This window comes from Homo sapiens, chromosome 4, assembly GCF_000001405.40.
Source record: "Homo sapiens chromosome 4, GRCh38.p14 Primary Assembly".
In the NCBI taxonomy this organism is placed as follows: domain Eukaryota; kingdom Metazoa; phylum Chordata; class Mammalia; order Primates; family Hominidae; genus Homo; species Homo sapiens.
In genome coordinates this window covers 141,654,487-141,672,214 of record NC_000004.12, presented here as the reverse complement: position 1 = coordinate 141,672,214, position 17,728 = coordinate 141,654,487, and the positions used below count along the sequence as shown (strand labels likewise).

Here is a 17,728-nt window from a genome sequence, read left to right as displayed (position 1 = left end):
CTTCAAACTACTAGATTTTTTCACAGACAGACAAATCCTTCACTCATAACCTATTGGTTAGAAGTTGCTGCAATATTTCTTTGATTACAAACAACAATGACTATGAACTATATAGAAGGACTCAAACTGTGCCTTTTCATACTATTATTCCTTGCTAGTAATGATGATTGAAACACACACAACAAAATAAGTACAACTGTTAGCCACTGTACACAGAAAAATAGACTACTTATACTTTACCAAATGGGAAATAAAAACCTGCCATGTGTATATGTGGTAGATAGTTTGCAAAGATGGCCACAACAGTCTCTTCCATCCCATGCACCCTTCTCCAGTGTGAATTTGCCACTTCTCCCATTGAAAGGTGGAGTCTCTCTTCCCTCCCCTTAAATCTGGGCTAGCTATGATTTATGTCCTAGCTACGATTTATGTCCTATGTCTTTATAACTAGTTATGACCAACAGGATATGGCAAAAATAATGTGTGACTTCCAACTCTAGGTCCCAAGAGGCCTTGCCATTCTGTTGTTACATCTTTGACTGTTTCTGCTGTCATGTAAGAAAATCCAGCTGGACTACCTAATGAAGAAACTGCATGATGAAAGCGGCTCACACAACAGCCATCACCGAGGCACCAGACAGGTGAGTGAGGAGATATCGAATGAGCCCAAACAAGACCAGGGAGAAAATCACTCAGTCAACCAGTAAAACAATGAGAAACAATAAAGTGTTGTGATTTTAAGACACTAAATTTTATATGGTTTATCACACAACACATAACTAATTTACTACAAAATTTTAAATCACGAGATTCAGAAAACATGAGTTAGTAATCTCTTATCCAGAAATCCCTCAGTCAATAATATGTCATCTAACATTCTATAGCATTTTTGTAGTACTTTTCACAATTTCATTTTCCCCCATAGATAACCCTCTGAGTTATGTATTATTATTATTATCTGGACTTAGAGAGGAGGAAATGAAAGCTAATGGTTTACCTAAGTAATAAGTGTTCCCACAAAATATGAGATTCCTCATTAGTCTATGAGCTTCTTTACGTAGGGGTTATATTACTCATCTTTCTGTCTCTAGTATATACATTAAGACTAGCATATAGAAGGCTATTTCTACATGAAATGATGGGTGAATTGTTAGACGGATGGATGAATGGATAGATAAATGAGTCTGCTCCTTCTTCTGCCATTTTAAATATTTAAGACAACTGTGATATATACACAACTCACCCCATTGTGCAATGCATACATGAGCCCAGACCCTCCAACGTCTTTCTTCTCCATACTAGTTGTTTTAGCTATTTTTCACTTGAATTAGTACTTAGATATGTTATATTCCTGAATGTGTCTTTCTATGTAAGCTCCAATTTGCCAATGTTTCTCTCAAACACTTCAAGTATAAAGGTACTGGAACTTCGACATAATGTTGAATCTAAAACTAATTTCTGTAATCTGCACTCTGCATTTACATATATGAAAGTAATACTCTATAGATTTCAAAAGTTTATCTGAAACATATCATCTTAAATAAAGAAGTAAAATAATTTCTAGGTTGTACTAGTAAAAATATTGAATATTTCTATAAATCTGTTGTAAAAAGCAAAACATGTTGGTTAAACTTAAAATCAATAACATTCCATTAGGAAAATAGACTTAAACTCTAGTGATCTACTTGAATTAAGGGAATAAATAAACTCATTAATTATGGTTAGTTTAAGAGACTTCTTCAGTTTGTGCCATTCATTTGGTTAATTTGGACAGAAGTAAGGAACTCATATTGTTTTTATTTAATTCTATCTATAGTGCCTTTATTTAAGTCAATTTTGAAAGGCTATAACCCCCTTTAATCCCATAGTTAAAGCATAAATATTCTAATTCCTTGATGCCAGCACAGCTGGCTACAATTCTTATAGCCTGTCTTATTCTATCATGTATCATGATACTCTCATAAACTAAAGATTACTTTTAGCCTCTGTGACATCCAGTAAGCCAAACATTATTTTGCATTAATTTCCACAGAATTATGAAATTAGAAATTTTCTGAAACTATTTTTCTTAAATCCTAATCAACATTTGAAAAATTTTATTAATTTTATTGAATCTATTTTTATATCTAGTTGACGGAAGTCCTTAGTAACTTTACAGGGCTCAGAAAAAATAAGGTAAAATCTATTTCTGGGCAAAACACTTTCAATGTAAATATTTATATAATTTACAATAATAATCTATCTTAATTAGAATACTGTACATCTATGCTTACTCAAGAGTTTTCAAATTATCCACACGGTGAACATTAATCTAGATTTCTAGACCCAATATCTCAGTCAAGGCTCTGTCATGAGCCAAGTTAGATTGCAGCTTTTTTTGGTGTCCTACATTTTTGCATTTTAAATATATATTAAAAGAATAGTTAAAAAAAAAAAAATACAAAGAATAAGATGTGACAGAGACCACATCTGGTCCACAAAGACCGAAATATTTTCCATCTGGCATTTTACAGAAAAAGTTTGCCAATCCCTGTCCCCTGGGATACTTCCACTTGAATAGCCTATTATTGCCTCAAACTTAATAAATCTAAAATCAAAATTTTTCTACCCAGACAACATTCTCTTCTTTTAACTCTCTATTTCTGCTAAATTCTACATGATGCAGCCATTATCCTTGGCTCAGAAACACCCTGGGCCCACACCTCTCTCTGATCCCTGATAATCTCCTCTGTTTTCTTTTATCACCACTGCTATTTGCAACAACTTAGTCTAGGCCTTCATCACCTTGAGGCTGAAGTCCTGTAAATACAATCGCTGTCTCACTCTTAATATACTCCTAATGAACTAATTTAAGTCAACACTACTTTCACCACACAACCACTCAAATTATTTCAAGGCTTCTTGTTGCTTGCTACATTGTGTGTCTAAATTCCAGGCACTTTCAAAGTCTCACTTAATTAGGCACCTGCATTTCCAACTTTACATTTTTCATTTAGCCTCCTAATATTTGGTATTAGCTAACAGATACCAAATATTTATTACTTTTCAGTTACTATTTTAGGTTCTTAACTAATTTTTTGTTACAGCAACTTTTTAAGAAAGGGACTATTTTGTCATCATTTTAAATGACATTTAAATTATCATCATAAAATGATGATAAAATAATCCCTTTCTTATAAAGTTGTTGTAACAGATTGCCATTAAGATGACAAATCTGAGGAAAAAAGAAATTACATTATTTACCTAAAGTGACACATCTAGTAAGTGACAGCCCAGAACAAGAAACTAGGCAGCCTGTCTTGCATTCACGTTTTTAGCACGAAGTTAGGCTCCTCTTAGAATAAACCAGTGTAATCTCCTGTTTGTAAATCCCTATTGTCTAGCTTTCCTAAGGCTTCAATCATGAAAATGAAAGTTGGTCTAAATTGAGTTTCTACCATGGTAGAGAATGGAAATATGATTTGTCAATGGAGGCTAAACAGGAGGTTGCCCTTAGGAGAAAAAGGATGTGATGCAAGTTGGCATATCAGCTAGTGGGTGGGAAGGCAAAGAGAAAAAAGGAAGAGGAAGACCTATGTGAGCTAAATTCTCATCCAGTACTGACACACCAGTAGGGGATTGAGAGTGGATTTGGTGGCATGCTTAGTCCCCAACAACCCAGCCAAACTCCTGACAGATACCAACATGAAGGGTAGTCTCACTCAAGAAACGACCAAATGTGACAACAAAGGTGAAAACTAGGTAGGCAGAGAGAAAGACTGAGTTCACTCATCTAAGCTTCTTCTCTGGAAGGAATCCAGAAGTTTCTGCCAAAACCCACAGGGAGCATGGAAGATAGCTGAGGAGAGAGTCAGAGGCTTGCACTGAAGAGGCAGTGGCCAAGTGGCATAAAGGAAGCTGAACCCACCACATCAGAGACACCTGGCCCAGGGAGGTAGGCTGAGGCACAGGAGAGCTGCAGTGTCTCTCTCAAAGGGCCTTCCATCCTAAAGAAAATACTTCTGAACAAGGATGTGCGTGTATTTCCCGCCATATGTGGCACTATGTATTATCTCTATCTCAAAATCAATCATTTCATATGTTTTAATAAAATTATACAGTGATTTAATCACAACTGTAAAATGTGTTAATAAAAGATAATTGTATACATACATTTTAATGCACAAATTAAATTTCTGTAAAGGGAACTTTACTAACTGTGACAGTAGTCAAAGTTTAATGTCCCATGAAAAGGTTAAGAATGTCAGGTTGGTTTTCACAGAATATTAACCTATTGTACCAGAAAATTAAAATAAGAGAAAGAATTAAATAAATAAGCTCACTAATGGTAGATGACGACAGTGATGTTCATGCTTATTTATCTATGCATGTATGTCTAATCCATAGAGGGTTCCGACAACTTTCAAAGTATTATATACATTAGGATACCAAGAAAAAAATAAATACACCCCGCATTACCTCACATTATAAAAGAAATAAAAAACCAAAAGATGTTTTAAGAATTAATATTTGATTCAACTCTACCCTTCCTTCCTATAACTGAATAAACAGAGCCCCGGAAAGCAGAAGACAAACTTATTTCTTAATCTTGCTGGCCAGACAAGACACTCACATTTTTATTTTTTTAAAGTAAGTGGCATACAGAGTGAAAAAAAAAGGTATGAATTAAACCATAGGTGCTGGGTGGAAAAACAGTTTTTTCTCTACTCTCACACCACAACAATCAATACAGAAAACTTCTGTGACCAAGTTTGTGGGGATTTCTCCTAACCAACAAGCAAGCAATCAGTTCTGCAGTGGACACCCAACTCTCTACCTGGAAATAGCATCCTGACACTATCTACCTGGAGACAGCATCAGATCACACAGGTTGGAGGCTCAGTTCCCACAAGCCCCAGGTTATTTTGCCTGGGCTTCTAACCGATCAGTTATAAATCAGAGTTCCCACAGCCCGGTCCTTGGGTTTGATTAATTTGTTAGGCTGGCTCACATAATTCAGAGAAATACATTTACAACTTTATTATAAAGGATATTTTTAAAAATACAAATAAACAGTCAGATGAAGAGATGCATAGGGTGAGGTCTAAAGGGTCCTGAGCACAAGCACTTCCATTCCTGTGTAAATGGGATGTGCCACCCACCCGCACGTGGATGAGTTCTTCTTCACCTTTCTGCAAGCTTCCACAAGTTCAGCTGTTCAGGAGCTCCCATATTCTATCTTTCTGGGCCTCTTATGGAAAATTCATTGGATAGGAATGATTGAAGCATGGACAATCATGTAAAAATATGACTGGACAAAGAGAGTATGACCTAATATGAATAGGCTGAGTGGGGCAACCCAGCAAGGACTGTTTAGATTTTTCTTGGCCTCTCTGTGCAGCATTCCTTCTTCCTGGGTATGGTGCAGGACCCCTTCAGAAATGGGGATCTTATGACTTACAATCAGACAATTTCTTCACGGCCAGCTCCAAGACACAAAGGGGGGAAGATGAGAGTATATTTTTAGTTTCTATGGCCTTCCTTGGGGAGAAAAAGGAGAAAGTTAAAAAAAAAAGTGGGGGGAAGCAGAAGGGCCAGGTGGGGTGGGTCACGCCTGTAATCCCAGCACTTTGGGAGGCTGAGATAGATAGATAGCTTGAGACCAGCATAGGTAACATGGTGAAACTAAATCTTTACAAAAGAACACAAAAAATTAGCCAGGCAGGGTGGTGTGCACCTGTAGCTCCAGCTACTCAGGAGGTTGAGATGGGAGGATCACCTGAGTCCCGGAGGTCAAGGCTGCACTGGGCCAAGATTGTGCCACCGCCCTCCAGGCTGGCTGAGAGAGTGAGACCCTGTCTTATAAAATTGAAAATTTTAAATTAAAAGGTGGGGAGCGATCTCCTGACCTCGTGATCCGACCGCCTCGGCTTTCCAAAGTGCTGGGATTACAGGCGTGAGCCACCACGCCCGGGGACCTAGTGGTGGGCGCCTGTAGTCCCAGCTACTCGGGAGGCTGAGGCAGGAGAATGGCGTCAACCCGGGAGGCGGAGCTTGCAGTGAGCCGAGATCGTGCCACTGCACTCCAGCCTGGGCGACAGAGCGAGACTCCGTCTCAAAAAATAAATAAATAAATAAATAAATAAATAAATAATAAATAAAAAGGATGAGTCTGAGAGAGATTCTGTTTTCTGAGTCCTGCTTCTGAGCCCTAAAGAGCCCCAACATTATGACAAAAGGCTGTCTTTCACCTTTATTACTTAAAAGCTGTTTGGAAGCTGCTTCAGAAACCAAGAACAAAAGACTAAATACTTTAACAAAAGACATATACTTATTGTTTTAGTCACCTAGGAAATAACAAGGTCTATGGGAGTTATGAGACAGAAACCATGGACAGAAACCAAAATATATACATCATAATATCAACAACTCTTATATTCATCATTCCATGTCTCATCAATATGTAGGGGAAATTACCTAATCCACGTTAGCAACAAAATTATACCATAGTTAGGAATGAATATGGTAATGTATGGAAATATATAAAGAAATCAATAAAACTAGATTGAAAGGCAAAAAGAACAATTATACAATCTGAGAAGCATACTTTATTCCTAGATGGAAACTATATATTACAGAAATATCATTTTTCCAAATTATTTCATAAGAAATTTGGAAGTGAAATTGACATATAAGAATTGACATAAGAAGCGAACTTGACACTATGATCCGTAAGTTCATCCAAAAACATCTACTGGTGAAAATAATTTTTAAATAGAAAAGGAATAAAGAGGAACTAGACCTAGTATATATTAAAATAAATACTAGGTCATAAAATAAAATACACTGTCATGATCCCTTTGAAATGTTTTATGCTTTTATTAAAAAGAGGGCAGTTTGAAGTGAAAGGTCAGCCAGTGATAATCAATTTCCTTAAAATTGATATGATTCTTATTAAACGTTTAGCATTTGGGTGTCATTTCAAAAATAAAATATAGTAATGTTTCTTAAAAAGTCAACACAGGAAGATTGATAGATCTGACAAAATAAGAATTATTAATTTCTCTAAGTTAATGTATAATAAACAAAATGATAGGATAACCAGACTTTTAAAAGGTGAAATAAAAATGATAAAATGTACTGGTTCCTTAACATATTAAGGAATTATAAAGTTTGGTTAAAAAAACAACAAAACAAAAATATCTCTAAATATAAAGAACTTGAACAGATAATTTTAAGAAATGAAAATACAAATAGCACATGAACACTTTAAAGAACTCAACTTACACAGTAATCAAAAGAGGTGAAATTTTTCACCTTAAATAAAGGAATTGCAAATTTGTATTTTTATATATTTTTCTATAAAAGTAATATATTCACATGGCTAAAAAATGAAACAATATGAGAAAGTATGTATGTAAGAATTAGGCTTCAATTCCTGTCCCATTCACCCTATTTGTTGTCCCTCCACTCTGGTCTCTGTAGGCAACCATTTCTATTCATTCTTGTGCTTCCTTGAAAGTTTCTTTATAAAACGCAAGCAAATTTAGAAATATATACTTATATTCTCTCATTTCTTAAATAAAATCAAATAACAACTGGTGTCTTATGTGGGGCTGAATATCTTTTTTATGAGCTGAAATGCTATTTGCAATTCTTTTTATATAAACTGTTCATTTATGTTCTTTGCCAACAGCTCTATAGCTTGTACTTCCCCACACGCCCCAGTTTCTAAAAGTTCTTAATATATTAGGGGGAAAATGCTTGGTGATTGGAGAAGTAAATATTTTTCCCAGTTTATCATTCTTTTGAATTTCCCCAGAGGGTTTTTTTGTTGTTGGTTTTGTGTGTGTGTGTGTGTGTGTGTGTGTGTGTGTGTGTGTGTGTGTGTGTTTTGCCCACCAAAGAATTTTTTTAATGAGTCAGATTTATCTCTGTTTTTCCTATTTTAGATGCTGGAATTGAGTAATGGTTAGAAACTCTCACAGGTTATTTGGGGGTTTTTGAAATATTAAGTCACAGAAACATAAAGGTTTTACTTCCACCTGCTTAGGTCTTAGAGCTTAAGACTTCATTTGTCTCTTGTATCTGCTTTGTTGGCTAAAATCTCTGGTACAGCATCAGTAGCAGGGTTGAGAATTGTGCATCCTTATCTGATTTATACTTTTAACAGAATAAGCAGAAATGCCTCTAGTGTTTTGTTATTCATTACAAAATGGCTTTGAGACAAGATTGTGTGTTTGTGTGCTGTGTGTTTCTGTTTGTTTGTGTGCATTCTCAGGGCTCAAAAAATTATATTTCAAAATGAAGGCCTCAGAAGCAGTCTCAGAAGCAAGTTTCTCTCTGACCTCCTACTCTCTCCTCTCAGCCTCATTCTTCCCCTAGCCTCATTCTTCCCCAAGGAGAGCTGCGGAAACTAGAAGCCCTCTTCCTCAAGGCAGGTCATAGGAGCCAGAACCCCTTTTCACCAAAGCCAGGCATAAAACCTAAAAATATTACTCTCAACTTCCCCGACCTTTCCATGTAACAGTTGGCCAAAAAGAAATTAAGACTTCATTCCAGATGGGCCATATCCCATACCTGGGAGGAAGGAATGCTGCATAGATAGGGCAAGAAGAATCTGAACAGGCCTTGTTGAGATTTCCCTACCAGGTCTATTAACATTAGATCATGCCGTTTTTGCCAAGCACAGTTCTACATTGGCCATTTATGCTTCAATCATGCCTAGCTAATGAAGTCTCCATAAACATTCCAAAAAGACCAGTATGAAAATGGATAGTTTACCCTGAGTCTTTGAGTCTTCATTTTTGAAGGCTTCTGTGTCACATAAAACTATGATCAAATAAATGTGCTATGCATTTCTCTTGTTAATCTGTCTTTCGTTATAAGGGTGTGTAGGCTGTGACCTTTATAATGGGGAAGAAAGGGATCACCCAATTTCTGCCCCTATAGCATAAATAGTTTGTCAGTTCACCTTGTTTATAAAATGTTTTAACTCTTATTTTATTGAGTTGTCTTTTTAAAAAATATCCACAATGGCTGTTGAATTTTGTCAAATAAATATTCAGCATCTATAGAAATTAACATATGATTTTTAGACCAATTAATATGATAAATTATTTTAATAGAGTTCACAATCTTTCATTCCTAGAATGAACCCTACTTGATCATGATATTATTTTTTTAATGAGTTACTTTTTTAATGATTACTTTTTTAATGAGTTGCTGGATTTTTTTTCTGCCAATAATATGAAGAGTTTTGCACTGATATTCATAAATAAAATTGGGAAATAGTTTTTTTGTGAAATTTTTATCAAACTTAGATATCAGTGGCATTCTCACTTCATGGAAACAATTTGAAGTTTTTATTCTTCTTTAAGGGTTTAAATCAAACTGCAATTATCTCTTCTTAAAACAAGTCATTAGATAGAATGTAATATGCAAAGGATGCATGTTGAAATAGCTAAGTAATAACAACAAAGGAAGAAAAAGCTACATAAAAACTGAGTCAAACAGAAAAAAAATAGGTTGATGAATACAAACACAAATACATCGGTAATTACATTAAATAAAAATGAACTAAATACTCCGTAAAAGACTAAGATTGTCAGGCTGAATTCAAAACAGTAACAAAGAACACAGCTACATGCTGTTTACAAGAGATGCACATACATAACACAGAGACAAAAACAGGCTGAAAGTAAATGGATGAGAAAATATATATCATGCAATATTAAATGAAATAAGCTGAGGTAGCTATATTAATAACAAAGCAGACTTTAACGCAGGTAGCCTTATTACAAAGATGATGGTGTGCATTTCTTAACTATGAAAAGGTCAAACTACCAGGAAGGTCTCACATTCCAAAATCTATAGTCTTCTAAAATCACAGCTTTAAGGCTTATAGGCAAATTCACCGTCATTGCGGGTAATTTAAAAACATCTCTTTCAAAAGCTGATAGAATACACAGTAAAAGAAAAAGTCAACAAGGACAGAGTAGATGTGGAAAAAACAATAAACTTGACCTACCTGTTCTCTAAGGTGCATTGTACTCAATGGCAAAACTTACTTTTGTTAGGTCCTCTTGGAACATTTGCCAAAATTAACCATATGTTGGGCCTAAGGCAAGTCATGACAAAACTAAAAGGACTAAAAGTACTCAATGTTTTATTCTCTGAAAGAAATCTGGCTGTGAAATCTAAAAACGAAAAAGACAACTAGGGAATCTTCAATTGCTTGAAAATTAAGCAATACATTTTTAAATAATCCATGGAACAGTAAAGAAATCCCAATAGAAATCAGAAAAACAATAAAGGTATGACGGGTAAGACATCATCATGAGACACAGAAAAAAGTATTTTATTGAGGGGTATGATTCCAGGAAAGCAGAAAGAAGTGAAAATAAGGAGAAGAAATAATAGCAACAACAACAATAACAAAAAACAGAAATGGAGGGCGGAGGGAGCCAATATAAGGGAGTGCAACAGAGCTCGCCATTTCTAAGTGCACAGCGGTACACAAACTGTACTTCAAGAGGTCACACCCAGGCAGAGAAAAGGGGAAGAATGTGTTGCCAACTTTTGTATCCCATTGGTCAAAGATGAGCCACACAGGCTGTTAACTTGTCCGCATCTCCATACAAGGAGAAAAATCCCAGGCACTAAGTGCACAGTGCAGGCAGGAATCCGACTCTGCCTGTCAGGATGCACCTTGTGAAGTCCATTGGATCTTACGAGGAATGGCACGTGCACCATCTCTGAGCTCCTCCAGCTTCCTCACTAGATACTGCCACCAAGGGATACAACCCCTTCCTTCCAATGCATTTCTCTCCTTTTTAAAAGATGTGCTTTCTGAGATCTGCCTCTTATGGGAACAAAAACATCTTTCTCCTATTCTCCCAGGAATGACTCCCTATTTGAGTTTAGCTCCCACTCAAAACAGGGCTCTTTCCTTCTTAGAATACTTACCTGATGACAGTCATCAACACCTGCTATCACTCTGTGGCTCCTCCACACTCTCATTCTTCCTGGCAGTATTTCCTGCACAAATTCTGCTAATTTCAGTTGCTTTTGCCTATCTACAGTAACACGTTCTGGATTTTATGGTTACTCACTGTCTCTGGGTTTTGCTTGACCTAGTTTGTGGGATTCCCTTCAATGCCATTCTCATAATTTTCTCTGTGGTTTCCAAGAGAATTACATTTGGCATAAACTGCTGCCCTATTCTTCATAGAACTAGAAAGGATTGTGAAACATCAGCACTGGTGAGGATGCAGTATCACCAAGACTCACATAGAGATGATGAAGGTGTAGGGATGACAAAAGTGTAAATTTGTACATCATTTTTGGGATAAGAGCACCATTAAAATATTTATACTTTAGACATCTTAGTTCCCTTCCTAGGAAATGTACCTAATGAATTATCATAAATTTGGACAAAATTTATTCAAAAATATAATCACTGAAGTGCTATTTATAATAATCAACAATTAGAGAAAGGAATGATGGGTTGGAACCTACTTTAGAGTATTATATACACATTAAAATAATGTTTACTTATGTAATGTCACAGAGAAATGTCACAATTTCCTGGTAAACAAGCAAAACCAGAACGCAACTTTTCAATCTTTTTTATAACAACCACGTAAACAAAATAACCGTGTTAACAGTCATGTGTTTAGTTGCCTTCTAGTAATTACGGCACCTGGTGATATTTTCCCCACTTTAAACTTTTCTGTAGTTTTCACTCTTCTATAATGAGCGCATAATACCCTGATAATCAAAGAGATAATAAGAAACAAAATTAAAAGCTTTAACTAAATTGAGTTAAAAGTGGTGACTCAAGGCCACCCAAGCTTGTAAGCTGCATCCCTAGCTAAAATAAAAGAGGAGGGGCCTTGAGTGAAAGCATGCACTGGTGAGGTTCCTAGTAACTTAGTTTATACCCAAATTCTGCTTTATAAATGCATTTATTTTCAGAATGTAAAAATTATAGCAAAGAAATCATGATAAAGACTACAAGTGAGATTCGGTTGGCAGAAATGTTTCACAGTGAAAGTTTCTTTAGCATGGAGCCCATTACATTCCCCAGTTGACTATCCAAAATAAAAGCTACCTTCAAGGGATTAACTGATACAAATAGTGCCTTTCTGGGTTCTTGTTACAGTAAGAGCAGAGCTCACCAAGGAACAAATTACACTTACTTGCCTGTTTTACTGTGCAAATTGAAAGAGATACTTGAGGTCTTTAATTCCACCTAAATCCTGACATGAATAACTATCACTGGCCACCAAGAAATAAGCAATCAAAATGTACCTGTTTTTAAGTATCCCAACAAAGGAAGCTGAACCTAAAAAATGTAGGAATCAAACAGAATTCATAAAAAGAAAAACAGAAGGCACACGACACTCTTCTTATGACTTCAAAACACTTATTTACTACTCATATACTAGGGGAGATCCCTGTTTAAATCTCTTGCATATTTCAAGCATGATTTCATTTAAGCAAAATTCCCCTGCCATAGCTTATTTGCCACAGAATTGATCAGAATAAATTTTTTTAAAAAGAATGTTTATTCATTTCCATCAATATCTCAGTGACAAGACACTTCACAACCACATTGCTATTACTAAAAATGTCTCAAATATTATCACTCAATACTCAAAATTTCCCCCTGCTTCTTTTTTAACCCCTCAATGGTAGCAATACCTAATCTGTGTGTATCAATAAGACACTGGCCAGGTGCAGTGGCTCATGCCTGTAATCTCAGCACTTCGGGAGGCCGAGGTGGGCAAATCACAAGGTCAGGAGTTCGAGACCAGCCTGACCAACATGGTGAAACTCCGTCTCTACTAAAAATACAAAAATTAGCTGGGCATGGTGGCATGTGCCTGTAATCACAGCTACTCAGGAGGCTGAGGCAGCAGAATTGCTTGAACCCAAGGGGCAAAGGTTGCAGTGAGCCAAGATCACGCCATTGCATTCCAGCCTGGGCAAACAAGCAAGACTCCGTCTCCAAAAAAAAAAAAAGACACCAGGAAACTTGTTCTTGAGTTTGGGGAATTCTTAATAAAAATTCCAAAAAACAGGCCGGGGACAGTGGCTCACGCCTGTAATCCCAGCACTTTGGGAGGCCGAGGCAGGTGGATCACAAGGTCAGGAGATCGAGACCATGGTGAAACCCCGTCTCTACTAAAAATACAAAAAAAATTAGCCAGGCGCGGTGGCAGGCGCCTGTAGTCCCAGCTACTCAGGAGGCTGAGGCAGGAGAATGGCTTGAACCCGGGAGGCGGAGCTTGCAGTGAGCCGAGATCGCACCACTGCACTCCAGCCTGGGCAACACAGCAAGACTCTGTCTCAAAAAAAAAAAAAAAATTCCAAGAAACAATAATTTCTAGGAAGTTTATGAAGTTAAGGGGTAAGTTTCAGTTTATAAATAATGACTGTCAAAGAGCATGATTTCCGTGTTTTTTCTTTGAATTTATATTTATTTTATTTTCTCATACTAAAAATGATGGAAAAATAAACTGCCTTTTTCCTCTTGGAGTTCTTATAAAATGTTTCAATTTCCTTAAAGTCCTTTACTTATTCTACTGTTTATCTTGATCTAGTATACATGCTACAGAATTCTATCTGAGAGTGTTAATTAGAAATTATAACTGAAAGTGAAAATGAAATGTATATATTCACTTTACCAGTAAGAAGCCAGATGCTTGGATTTATTTCTGTGGCTTTAAAGTCACACGCCCCATAATGAAGTTTCAGTCAATGACATACTGCATATACAATGAGGTGGTCCCATAAGATTATAGTGGAGCTGAAAATTCCTAGCAGCTGGTGACAAAGATGTCTGTATTAGTCCATTCTCGCACTGCTATAAAAAACTACCTGAGACTGGGTAATTTATAAAGAAAAAAATGTTTAATTGACTCACAGTTCTGCAGGTTATACAGGAAGCATGACTGGGGAGGCCTCAGGAAACAAAATCATGGCAGAAGATGAAGTGGAAGCAGGCATGTGTTACATGGCCAGAGCAGGAGGAAAAGAGAGCAGGGGGAGGTGCTACACACTTTTAAACAACCAAATCTCGTGAGAACTCACTATCATGAGAACAGCAAGGGGGAAGTTTGCCCCATGATCTGATTACCTCCCACCAGGCCCCCTCCTCCAACAATGGAGACACAAATCCAAACCACATCGACGTCATAATGTCGTAACACAGTGCATTGTTCAATTTATGGTGATGCTGGTGGAAACACACTTACTGTGCTGCCAGTCATATAAAAGTATAACATAAAATTATATGCAGTACATAATACTTGATTATAACTATGTTGCTGGTTTATGTATTTATTATACTATACTTTTTATCATTATTGTATGGTGTACTCCTTTTACTTATATTTTCTTAAAAGTTAACTGTAAAACAGCCTCAGGTAGTACCTTTCAGAGATATTCCAGAAGAGGGCATTGACATCATAGGAGATAACAGCTCCATGTGTGTTACTGCCCCTGGAGACCTTCCAGTGAGATAGGACGTGGAGGAGAAAGACAGTGATGTTGATGATCCTGACTCTGTGTAGACCTAGGCTAATGTGTGAGTTTATGTCTTAGTTTTTAATAAAAAAATTTAAAAAGTAAAAATTAAAAATTTTTAAAAACAGAAAAAAAGCTTACAGAATAAGGATGTAAAGAGAAACATTTTTGTACAGCTGTATAATATGTTTGTGCTTTAAGTTGTGTTATTACAAAAGTCAAAAAGTTAAAGAAAATGTTTGTTTCTTAACTTTAAAAAATTATAATAATCTAAAGTTAATTTATTATTAAAAGAAGAAAAATATTTTAATAAATTTTGTAGGACCTAAGTGTACAGTGTTTATACAGTTTACAGTAGTGTGAAGTAATGTCCTAGGCTTTCACATTCCCCCACCACTCACTCATTGAATCAACCAGAGCAGCTTCCAGTATTGTAAAATTTATCCATCTTAAGGGGCCTATGCAGGATATAATTTTTTATCTTTTATATTATATTTTTACTGTATCTTTTCTGTGTTTAGATACACAAATACTTATCATTGTGTTACAATTGCCTACAGTATTCAGTACAGTAACATGCTGTACAGGTTTGTAGCTTAGAACCAACTGGCTATACCATATAGACTAGGCATGTATAGGCTATACCATCTCAGTTTGTGTCAGTGCAGCCTAGGATGTTCCCACAACAGAATTGTGTAACAATGCATTTCTTAGAACATATCTCCATCATCAAGTTATACCTTACTATATTTTGTTTAGTTATCGAGACTGAACTTGACCTTACATTTTTCTAAAATACTCCTTAAAAGACTCAGTCATTTAAAAAATCTAATCTACATTATCTTCTAATATCCTTACATAAACTCATTCAAAAATTAGATAGTTTGATTACACTTATTATTTAATTTTAAGCACGCAAGTTCTTTCAAAATTAACCCAGTAATATACAGAAAGTGATATGCACAATTCTGTCATTTTATATGCCTAGAATTGACAAACTATCAAACTATGACCCAGAGGCCAACCCTCATCAGCCGCCTGTTTTTGTAAATACTTCTGGTGGGACATAGCCATACACCTACACGATTATTGCTTCTTTCAGGTAATAGGGCAGAGTTGACTCATTGTGACAGTGAGCATTTGACTCTCAAAGCCTATAATATTTACTAAGTGGCTCTTTTCAGAAAAAAAATTATGTGCAATATTCTGTGCCTTCAAATATATGCTTTAAGCATGCAATAACAAAGGGTATATTTTTTAAACCAAGATGCTCATTTTAAAAGCTGTGAGTATATATAACTTCACCTGTTTTGCCACATTTTCCTTATTATTAGTTATGCTATTATATAAAAGTATCTGTATTGCATGATAAAACTTTTAAAACTTTACTTACACGATCTTGTATGGGCTGGCTATCTGCTAACATTGATTTCTGTGCTCCATGTGACGTCAGCAGCATGGAACATGATGGAACATTGCTCCAAAGAGCCACATGGCCATATATTGGAATGGATTCTGTAAGAGTCAAAGGTACGGATAAGAGGATTAATAATTATGTATTGAGTAATCCTCCCTTCCTCAGATTTATGGTTACCTACATACCTGATCATGCTATAAAAAAACAGGAAGACTCATATGGAGAAAACTGCATAAGTCAAGACTGAACTTCTTGGGGAAATCTTTTCTACAATCCTCAGAGTTCCCCATAATTTAACTCATGTCCTTGCTGACTAAAGCTACATCATTTTGGAGAAAAAAATCATATATCATTTTTTAAAACCTATAATGCTTCATATAGCTCTCTAGTAAATTGTCTTTCTCTTTATCACAAAATATCACAAAGCACACATGATGTCAAGTGTATTTGTGTGTTTGATATTAAGTTATTGACCAAGTCTGAAGAAGGTGTTGAAAATAAGTTGTAAACGTTTATTCTAAAAGTGAAGTGGCAAAGTCTCCACTCAAATACGAAGTAGTAAAACACAACATCATAATATAGTATAATATTTTAAGGTATATGTGATTCGGGGGTATAAATATGGCAACAGATTATTTAATTAGAAAACCTAAAAACAGTGTAACTTCTATGTTTTTTTATAAGGGTAATCCAACTTATTATGCCATTTAAAAAAGTAAAGTAGTATAACTTTTATTTTATAAAATAAATTAAGAAACATCTTAATCAAATTTCAGTATGATCCAAGAATCCGCATGAAGCTTTGTGTTGAAGAAAAAGATTAAGGTTTTTTAGAAAAACTTACATTCAGTTTAAAAGTTGATCTTACACCCATACAGCCACCAATCTTAGAATTGTTTTTTTTTTTCTTTTTGCTTTTTTCTCTGCATCATGTTTGTATAATACCGCCTTAAATTTGATTTCACTTCCCATTTCCTTATCTTAAAGAACATTTTCTTTTTCTTGGATATGTTTTCCATCCTCTTTATGAACCTTCATTAACTCTACCAGGCACACTTAAGAGAGGCCCATTCCCTGAGCCCTTTCCCCACTCCTACCAGGAAACAAGCTTCCATCAATAACAACCACAATTGATGAATCCTGCAGGAGCATGAGAATGAAATTCACAAGTACCATAAATGACATAGGATGGGCATTTAGACCCATCTGATTCCCAAATGGAAGGTCCCTGAGAAATTGCTATAGCTGTTTGTCTATACCTGTTTGCTTCCTGAGCTTCTAAAAGGAGAATAAATAAGAGCTCCTAAGAATGTGCTTTAAAGCCAGTTATGCTCCTCTCTCTTTTACACCCTATGCCAGTATATTTCTTCAATTTTATCAATATGGGCCAATGTTCCTAGGAAGATAGCAAGCTAGCTTCTCCAGCAAACACCCAACAAGAGGTAACCAAAATATTTTAAAAATATATTTTTATATTTTAATAAAAAGCTCTAATTCAGCTCTTATGCACCTTCGCCCCAAGAGTCTGCCCCAAGTTAAGTAACACATACTTGAAAGCATTATAACAATGCACTTTTTTTCCATAACTGCACAGCAGAAATATTAAAAAGTTAGAGCTTATCTATCCACATCATAGGCCTCTATATGGCCAAGTATGTCTTGGGGAAAACTTATGTCTGACCTTGGAATTCAATTAGCACATACTGAAATGGAAATAGATGCAAAGAATGTTATAAACTCTAAAGAACTTTCAGCTCAGCATCCATATTTCATACAGCAAGAAACTGAGTCCCTGGA

The 17,728-nt window shown here is 35.8% G+C and overlaps 1 protein-coding gene across 3 annotated transcripts in view; it reads right to left on the bottom strand.

The window, feature by feature from the left end:
• IL15 (interleukin 15) overlaps positions 1-17,728 on the bottom strand; it is a 97,405-nt gene that overhangs the window by 61,773 nt on the left and 17,904 nt on the right. For all 3 annotated transcript variants that reach the window (NR_037840.3, NM_172175.3, NM_000585.5), the window contains exon 2: positions 15,908-16,029. The gene's annotated coding sequence lies outside the window, so the exon portion shown is untranslated. The remainder of the gene's footprint in view (positions 1-15,907; positions 16,030-17,728) is intronic.